The 8,799-nt window shown below is 56.2% G+C and overlaps 6 annotated features.

Moving 5' to 3' along the window:
• Nucleotides 2,723-3,279: an enhancer, noted in NCBI's record as "NANOG-H3K27ac-H3K4me1 hESC enhancer chr5:141229034-141229590 (GRCh37/hg19 assembly coordinates)". NCBI's record gives its function as "activates a minimal SCP1, AML or CMV promoter by ChIP-STARR-seq in primed H9 embryonic stem cells {active_cell/tissue: H9 hESC(primed)}" and the evidence as "EXISTENCE:reporter gene assay evidence [ECO:0000049][PMID:30033119]".
• Nucleotides 2,823-3,072: a silencer, noted in NCBI's record as "silent region_16462". NCBI's record gives its function as "represses an Ori minimal core promoter by ATAC-STARR-seq in GM12878 lymphoblastoid cells {active_cell/tissue: GM12878}" and the evidence as "EXISTENCE:reporter gene assay evidence [ECO:0000049][PMID:35858748]".
• Nucleotides 3,633-3,722: an enhancer, noted in NCBI's record as "active region_23313". NCBI's record gives its function as "activates an Ori minimal core promoter by ATAC-STARR-seq in GM12878 lymphoblastoid cells {active_cell/tissue: GM12878}" and the evidence as "EXISTENCE:reporter gene assay evidence [ECO:0000049][PMID:35858748]".
• Nucleotides 3,838-4,394: an enhancer, noted in NCBI's record as "H3K27ac-H3K4me1 hESC enhancer chr5:141227919-141228475 (GRCh37/hg19 assembly coordinates)". NCBI's record gives its function as "activates a minimal SCP1, AML or CMV promoter by ChIP-STARR-seq in naive H9 embryonic stem cells {active_cell/tissue: H9 hESC(naive)}" and the evidence as "EXISTENCE:reporter gene assay evidence [ECO:0000049][PMID:30033119]".
• Nucleotides 5,151-5,972: an enhancer, noted in NCBI's record as "H3K4me1 hESC enhancer chr5:141226341-141227162 (GRCh37/hg19 assembly coordinates)". NCBI's record gives its function as "activates a minimal SCP1, AML or CMV promoter by ChIP-STARR-seq in primed H9 embryonic stem cells {active_cell/tissue: H9 hESC(primed)}" and the evidence as "EXISTENCE:reporter gene assay evidence [ECO:0000049][PMID:30033119]".
• Nucleotides 6,350-6,644: a silencer, noted in NCBI's record as "tiled region #8612; HepG2 Repressive non-DNase unmatched - State 22:ReprW, and K562 Repressive non-DNase unmatched - State 7:EnhWF". NCBI's record gives its function as "represses a minimal TATA promoter and a strong SV40 promoter by Sharpr-MPRA in HepG2 and K562 cells {active_cell/tissue: HepG2 | K562}" and the evidence as "EXISTENCE:reporter gene assay evidence [ECO:0000049][PMID:27701403]".

Raw genomic sequence — 8,799 nt, 5'->3', positions numbered from 1 at the left:
GGGCTTCCCTTTGTCAGGGTCAGGGGTCCCATGGGGGAGGGGGTAGGGAGGTTGGGGGGCAGAGAAGCCCAGTCAGCCATGATGAGGTGAAGTTCTCTTCTTCACCTCAGGGGGCCAGGGTGTAAGGGGCGTCCTGCAGAGCCCCCGTCTCCCACTGTGGCCATCTCAAAGCCTCAGCCCCTCTTCCTTCCAGAAACCCCCACTGCCTTGGCCCATACCTCTCCAGCTCCCTAGGGGCCCAGGCTGGGAGGCTGGAGACTCAGGGTATGGCCCTTGCTTGACTTAGTCTAAGCTTGGGGAGGTGGTCCAAGATTGCGAGCGGTGGGTACAGGCTGCGGGGTCGTCTGGTGCCTTTGGGAGCTGTGCTGCTGGGGTCTTGACTCTTGTACCCCAGAGACCCCACCCCCACCCCGGAAAAGCCAGGGGCCTGAAGAATCACCCTATTTATCTGCCCCTTACCCCCAACTTGGCTTGGGGTGACAGTGCTAGGAAGGAGAGCATTGTTAGGCTGGTAGCCCTGGCATACGAAGCCCTTCTACAGAGGGGAAGGGGTAGAATGGGATGGGGTGGCAGCAGCCAGGTCTAGGGGTTGGCCAAAGGCTCCTTTCCCTTGGGGAGGCCCAGGAGATGGGCTTGGGGCTTGTTAAAGAGACAGCCCCTTTCCCCTGCACAAATGGGGCAGGTGCAATAGTCTTGGAGTTGGTAGTATTGGGTGCCCAGCTGGTGGAACAGTGGCCTCAAGGATTGTCCTGGGTCCTGGAGGTCAGGATTCGGGCAAGAAGATTGTATGAGGCCCATTTGCTTGGTGGAGAAGGTGGTCCAGACAGGCGGCATTCCTGGGGTCAGTGGACTCCCACTGGAAGCCCCTAGTGGCCTGGGTACCTTGCCCTGGTCTTAGAGACCCCTGAGCACTGAGCAGAAGAGCAGAGGAGCATTTTGCACAATGGAGAAGCCAGAAGAAAGAGGGTGGCCCAGATGGCTGGGAGAGCTGAGAAGCCCTTCCCACAGGCAAAGACAGAGCCCCCAGCCCCCTGGTTGGGGCCAGGGCACTGAGTCTGTCACCAACTGGGCACTGGAGAGATGAAACCAAAGGTGGGCAGGGGTTGGCGACAGCACTGGGGACTATCCCTGTGGGTCCTAGGTCTGTGAAGCCCCTCCCCAATGCCTGTGTCGCGTACAGTTTTATGTACCAATAGGCGACATTTGGCCAGAGGAGAGCCCCCCTCAAACCCAGCCTGACCCAGTCTGTGTCTTCCCAGAGGGGACCTAGTCGGTCCCCATCCCCCTACTTCAGGGCATGTCTCTCCGTAGGGGGAGGGTATATGGGGACATATTTCTCTCCTAGGGTCCTTGAAGCATGTTTCACATTCCGGGGTGGGGGGAAGTTCTCTGGGCATCCCTCACCTCTGGGGTCTCTCTAGGCCCTATCTCTCCCCTTGGGAGTCTCCGGGGGACATGTGTTCCCGCTGAGGACCACGGGAGCATGTCTCCCCCAATTACCCAGGCTCTCTGGGGAGCCTGTTTTCCTCCCAGGGTTCCTGGGAGTACTTAAGGCAAGTCAGTTTCGGGCCATCTCTCTTCCCAGGGAAGGGGGCTATCTCTGAAACACGTCTGGGAAGGGATGTTTCTGGCCCTACCCCCATCTCTCCTATGGGGGTTTCTCTGCCCTGCAGCACTTTAGGATGAGGCTGGGCATCTCTGAGTTGTCTTTTCTCCTAGGAGCCCTGGGATACCTCTCTCTCCCGAGGGTAGGGCCTCTGGAGCCATTTCTTCCCTGGGTCGGGGCTGTCTCCGGGTGTTGGGAGGGCTTGTGTTGGCCATGAGAAAGTCTCTTAAGGGGCGTCTCCACTGGGGACTTCTCTGGGAGGGGGGACTGTGTCCCGCCCATGGGGTTTCGGGCGGGTGTGTCTGCCCATGGGGAGGGGAGACTGTGTCTCCTCGGGTTATCTAGTGGGGAGGGGGGCCGTGTCTCTCTCGTGTGTAGGGGGGTGGGGGTCGGGGTGGGGGGTTTTGGGCGCGTCGGGTGCCCACATTGGGGTCGTGTTTCTCTTGGTTCGTGCCACTTCCCACTGCCTCGCTCCTCCCGGGAAGGGCCCCCGCCCCGCCCCACCCCACCCCATCCCTGGCGCTGCGAGCACAATCCCGTTGATTTGTAATGATTTCTGTCTCTTTCTGTCTTTCTCTTTCTCTGACCCCCCCACCCCCACCCCCACCCCCCCCCACCCCGCCGCGAGCATGCGCAGGCACCGCCCCTACCCCCTCCGGTTCGGTTCGTTTCCGGTTTGTTTGCTGAGCTGTCAATGAAAGACCCGTGTAATTATTCCCGAGCTTTACAATAAAAGTGTGAAAACCGGACCCCACTCAGCTTCTTCCGGGTCCTCGGGCCTGCGTCCCGTGGAGAGTGGGAGCTAAATCTGGAGGCCTTGGAGAGGGCTGGGGGACGCGAGGGACAAGAGACTGAGACCCGCACTGGTATTAATCGGGGATGGGGTCGAGCTGACGCGTTCTGAGGATAGACTCCTAGTCCGTACACCTCAAAGTGACCCCTGCCGGATCCTCTGGGCCCGACCTGCTGTGGGCACCCCCTCCCCGCAAGAACTCAGGTGCAGGATGGGGTGGGAGGTGACCGCAGGAGAGGTTTTGTGCTGCGCTGCCTTCTTCCCCGGGCGCCCGCAGGACGTGCAGTCGTTCCCGGGTGTATCCATTCCCGCTCCCCACTCTTTGGCAACGAGTGTGAATTGCGGAACTGGATAGGATAAGGGGCGGGAGACATCTGTCTGTCTGCCGCGTTCTCCCACGCTCAGGAACGAGGGTTGGAAGTCGATTTAGGGGAAAGGAACCGAAAAGGTCTCAGCCTCGGTCTCCGACTGCGCTCCCCTCCCCCCTTCCGGGCTCGACCGGCCCCGGCCTCCTCCGTCCGGCTCCCGGGTAAACACCCGCTCCGGAGAGGTCGGAAAACAGAGACCGGATCAGCCGGTTCCTGGCCCCGCCTCCCGGGGCGTTGCTCCCTCCTCCGCCCCTCCCCACCCCCACACCCGCCCAGCGTCGCGCGCTTTTGCTCGACCCGCGCCCTAGCTCCCTAGGCCGGTACTGTGTGGGCCTCGCTCCGGACCCCGGGGTCGGTCCAGCCGCTGGGATTAGCCGACCGCAGGGACTAATCCCGGATGAGCCTCGTGTAAACCCGGATCGACAGCGGGGACGGCGGGGGTTGCTGGCACCCCTTCATCCGTTCCCAGACGCGGAGCATCACGGGGCATAGAGCCCACCCCGAGGCTCCTTGCTGCTTTCGGAGAGACCCGAGTTGGATCTGCAGTTGGGGGCGTGGCGGGGCAGGAGATGAAGAACGCAGGGCCGGGATCTGACGCGCCGAGAGCCTGGCGCGGGGTGACTGGGGTGTGGGGCGGAAAGGCAGAGATCTCTCGGGCAGTACTTGAATCTACCGGCTTAGGTCAGCTCCCTACTCAGTCTACAACCGAAGCCCCCTACCTATCCTCCAGTTACAGAATCACAGACCCTCCCCCTACCAGTGGGTGTGGCAACCCTTCCTAAACCTGAGGCCTCACCTCATTAGGAGAGGCGCTGAATCAGCGGGGGAGGGGCCCGCATTGTCTCCACCCCTGACTTGACCCCACAGTGAAGGGTGAGGAGTTCCTTCTGTTAAGGCCTAGCCCAGGAAAAGATGTCTGGAGTTAAGGAAGTTGGAGGAGATGTGGTGGCCGACTGGGTACCAGAATCCTGTCACTGGTTGATTAACTCATTCTACAAACATTTCCTGAGCCCCTCCCATGTGCCAGACCGGCACAGGGTACTGGACCCCAAGAATGACACACAGTCTCTGTGGGAAAGGCAGACAGGTAAACAATGACCACATCTTGTGTTCGGCCCTGCCTTGAGCCGGAAATTCTGGCAGGAGACCTAAAGGCGCTGTCCTCTCCAAAGTCTAGAGGCTTTCTGGAAGGGGTGGTGCCAGAGCTGAGTTTCAAAGGGCAAATGAGGGATAGGCTACTGAGGAAGGGGTCAGCCTTGCAGGCTGAGGAGGAGTATGTGCCAGGGTCTGGAGGTGGAGGAGGAGGTGAGGTGGCTCAGGAGGGCAGGAGAAGTTGGAGAAGAAGGCAGGGGCCAGAACTAAGGACCTGCTGGTCAACTTAAAGTGCTTGGATTGAGGGGTTGGAGAGGAGCCATTTACAGATTTTAAGCCTGTAAAAGAAAAGGTCAGATTTACATTCTTCCAGATTCTGTGTTCCTCCCTTCCCTGCCCCAGGTTTCTCTGGGGATGCCTGGGTTGGGAGTGGAGATACACAGGCAGACAGGAAGAGGAACCAGGTGCAGTTTAGGCTGGTTAAGAATGGTCCCTGGCTGGTCGCGGTGGCTCACACCTGTAATCCCAGCACTTTGGGAGGCCGAGGTGGGCTGATCACGAGGTCAGGAGTTCGAAACCAGCCTGGCCAACATGGGGAAACCCCATCTCTACTAAAAATATCAAAATTAGCTGGGCACGGTGGTGCGCACCTGTAATCCCAGCTACTTGGGAGGCTGAGGCAGGAGAATCATTTGAACCCGGGAGGCAGAGGTTGCAGTGAGCCGAGATTGTGCCACTGCACTCTAGCCTGGACAGCAGAGCAAGACTCCATCTCGGAAAACAAACAAAAGAATGGTCCCCACTTTCCATCAAACTTGGAGTCAGAGAGACCTACGTTAGAAATTTGGCTGTACTTATTTCTAGTGGCATGACCTTGGGTAGGTGGCTGAGCCTCAGTTTCTTCCTCTGTAAGGTGGGGATAATAGTGCTTACCATCACCAAAGGTTATTGTGGGGCTTCAATGAGATAATTTGTCCACTTTTTTATTTATCACACGTCTAACACCTACTAAGTGGCAGGCACTGTCTCAGGTGCTAGCATTATGGTGCTGAATAAGACAGGCATGATGCCTACTCTCTCTCTCTGGGAACTTGCATTCTAGAGGAAAAGACAGACAATAAACAAATAAATGAGATAATTATAGATTGTGTTAAAGTGCTGTGAAGGAAACAAACAGTGGGACAAGAAGGAGGATAACTGGAGGTGGGGGAGGGGAGGGGGCTGCTTTACCCAGCCAGGGAAGCTTCCCTGAGGAAACCTGAAGGTTGGCCAGTGTACTCCAGCCTGGGCAACAAGGTGAGACCCTGTCTCAAAAAAGAGAAAAAAAAAAATAACCCTGAAGTTTTAGAGCTTGGCAAAGAACATTCCAGATACAAGGAAACTGCAGGGAAATTGCCTTCAAAGGCCCTGAAGTGGGAGAAAAGAGCATAGCCACAGTACTCTAAGATGCTAAGATTCCTCAGGGCAGTTACCTGGGTTTCTTTTCTTCTAACCTTCTGGGCAAAGTGAGTAGAAATGGAGGGGAGTTGGCCGGGTGTGGTGGCTCACGCCTGTAATCTCAGCACTTTCGGAGGCTGAGGCGGGCAGTTCGAGACCAGCCTGATCAACATGGAAAAACCTCGTCTCTACTAAAAAAAAAAATACAGCCGGGTGCGGTGGCTCACGCCTGTAATCCCAGCACTTTGGGAGGCCGATGCGGGCGGATCACGAGGTCAGGAGATCAAGACCATCCTGGCTAACATGGTGAAACCCCGTCTCTATTAAAAATACAAAAAAATTAGCCAGGCTTGGTGGCGGGCGCCTGTGGTCCCAGCTACTCGGGAGGCTGAGGCAGGAGAATGGCGTGAACCCGGAAGGCGGAGCTTGCAGTAAGCCGAGATTGCGCCACTGCACTCCAGCCTGGGTGACAGAGCGAGACTCCGTCTCAAAACAAACAAACAAACAAACAAAAAAATTAGCCGAGCATGGTGGCGCATGCCAGTAATCCCAGCTACTCGGGAGGCTGAGGCAGGAGAATCGCTTGAACCTGGGAGGCGGAAGTTGCGGTGAGCCGAGATCACACCATTGCACTCCTGTCTGGGCAACAAGATTGAATCTCGGTCTCAAGAAAAAAGAAAAAAATGGAGGGGAGTTTCCATCCTGCTGGGCCAAACCCCTTCCCCTCCAACCCCATCCCCTGGAGTAATATTGGGGAGATGTGGGCTTCATCAGTCAGCCCATCTGTCCAGCTTAATCTTCCACCTGTTCTATAGCTGCCCCCAACCCCCCTCCCAGTTTCAGGACAGGTCTCAGCCCGCTATTTTCCCAGTGGGTTCTGGGGTTCCTAGTCCTCTTGGGCAGGCGGGGCAGGTTAGGGCCCCTCCAGAATCTGCCATTACAGATCCTGGATGAAACAGAATTTAGTATCTGACCTGCAGGGGCCAAGGGGTGGATGTTTCCCAGATGAAGATGACCAAGGGGTTTAGGGGCTTAGGCCTTTTAGAGTTTCCCCCTTGGCCTGGGTCTCACTTCAAGGAGGCGGCCTGGATCCCTGTCTGATTCCCCCTCAAAGAATGCTTCCTGTAACATGGATACATTTCACACACAGCCGCCCGCCCCTGCTGCAGAGCGCACACAGCTCCTCTCACACACACTCACCATCCAGCTGCACCGTGCGTCTCCATGGCAACCAGTAGGCCTGGTCCACGGATGTTAGAAATAAGTGCCAGAGGAAGAGGAGAGAGAGAGGGAGAGGGAGAAGGGAGAAAGAGAAATAAAGAGACTTAGAAAGATAACCTCCCAAGGAGAGCCCTACCCTTTCCTTACAACCCTGCCAGGAAGACGTGAGTGGATTCGGGCCCTGAGGACGGAGGAGCTCAGGGTGGGGACTAAGCAGTAGATTAGGGGCTGTCTGGACACAGGTAACGGGGCACAGTGGGCAGTAAGGAGTGGGCAGAATCAAGGGAACTTTCTTGACAGTCTGTAGTCTTGGGATAGGAATACTTGGTCTAGGTGAAAAAGGCAGATGGGGGTGGGTGGGTAGGGGTGGAAGACTTGGGGAAGCTACTTTCTCTTCTTCCTGGCCTAATTGGCTGTTCGGGCCGAAACCACCTCTTAGTCACTTAGTCTAATCAGAATTGTTCCGGAGAAGACAGTCGGGGAGGGGAAGGAGAAGCAGGGGTGTGAAGGGGGAGGGTGGGTGGAGACAAAGCTGGGTGAAGGTGGGGGTGGGAGTTCCTTCTACCACCTGCCATCCATCCTATCGCCACCCAGTGGATGGGGTGGGCTGTGACTATACAGGCTGATGGGTCTCTCTAACAGCCTCCCAGCTGCCACTAGCACCCCTTCACGCCCACTTGCTTTTTACTCTGCCCCTTCTCGTCTGTCTCCATGTATCTCTGTCTCTAGCTCTAGCTCTCACTCTCACTCTCTCCTGGTCACCCTGTCTAGCTCCTCACCTTCCTTTCTCCCCTTCCTGGGAGTCTCCTGACCTCTGGCCACCAATATTTGTGTATGGAACAGATAAAGGATATAGGATTGCTAATCTAGGCCAATCCACTGGTGAGTGGAGGAGGAGCAGGGGGAGGGGATTATACTGAAAGGAGCCCTGTCTTTGGGGAGAAAGAGAGAGTAGGGTGGACGCTGGCCTGGCACGACTCCCCTCCACATACCCACACAGGTCAGGGTGTGTGTGTGTGTGTGAGTTTGGTCTGGAGCTGGACGGGCTGACTGTCTCAGACAAGTTACTTAACCTCTCTGTGCATCACTTTTTCTAACTATGAGATGAGGATAATACATTCCAAAAATGCAGTGTGGATTTAAGGTGAGAATGCACGTAAGTTGCTTAGCATGGTATATTGTAAGGGCTCAATAAATGGCAGCTTTTATCATCACTCCAGACTCTTGTCCTTTCTCCGGGGTCCTTCTGGAGCCAGGACAGCTGCATCTTCCAATCCCCTCCTCCTGCCACTGCTTCTCCATTCTTGGGGGCCCAAATTGCCTCTCAGTTCCTGGACCCATCCCCCTTGCCTGGCTCCCAGGGCTACTCACTATGGTGTCCCCGTGTAGGGGATGAGGCTGGGATCCTGCCCTCTGCCCACAAGGTCTGGAGGGACACACTTCTTCAGTTTAGGGTCTGTTTTTCCCTTCTCTGCAGGCCTCAGAGGGGAGGAAAGGGGACAGCCATAAATGATGTAGGGGAAGCGTACTTGCTGAGGGGGACAATAAGGGATGAGCAGCGTCCAGAAACCTAAATATTTCATGGGGCTGCAGCGCTGGGAAGGGCAAAGTCCCTGAGCTGTGTTTGTGCATATGCGCTTGACTCCATGTGGCTTGGAGCTGTTCCATATGCCCAATGCCCTCCTTACCCCCCAACCCTCAAAATGCTACACTCAGGAAAGCTGCTCTCGTGAACCCTTTCCTGGCCAAGATCCCTCCAAAACCTTCCCAGCACATGTATATTTCATTTCTTATAGCTGTAGTGGTTCCTACGGCTTTTAGGCTGTATGTTTACACAGTCATGTCTTTTTTTTGCCCCTGTGTTCAATGTCCCCCCCTCCGTAGGGACAAAAAAAGGCATGACTCCCAAGGACTGGTACCCTTAACCCTCATTCCCTCTGCCTTATCAGGAGACCCCAGTAGCTGGAAAAAGCTGGTGGGTTGGGAGCAGAGGCAGAGGTTGGGGTGGTAGGGAGGAGGTCGAGGTCTCCCGAATTTATGTCTCTGTCACGGTTGACTAAGGAGGAAGGTGTCCAGCAGAACAGGTGGGAATGAGGGGGACAGCATCCGAGTCTAGTGGCTTCCATGCCCCCTGCTTGCAGATGAGCTGGGGGACTGTCTCTGTCAAACCTCTGTCTTAGGGTAGTTCCTGTAGGGCTGCTGCCTATGACCCTTTCCTGACAACATATCTAAGTAAGGGAATAGAAGGTGTCCCTTTCAATCTTGGTCACAGGCCCCCCTTG

Source organism: Homo sapiens, chromosome 5 (genome assembly GCF_000001405.40).
Source record: "Homo sapiens chromosome 5, GRCh38.p14 Primary Assembly".
NCBI lineage: Eukaryota > Metazoa > Chordata > Mammalia > Primates > Hominidae > Homo > Homo sapiens.
Note: the sequence above shows the minus strand (reverse complement) of the source record. Positions and strands in the feature narration are given on the sequence as shown.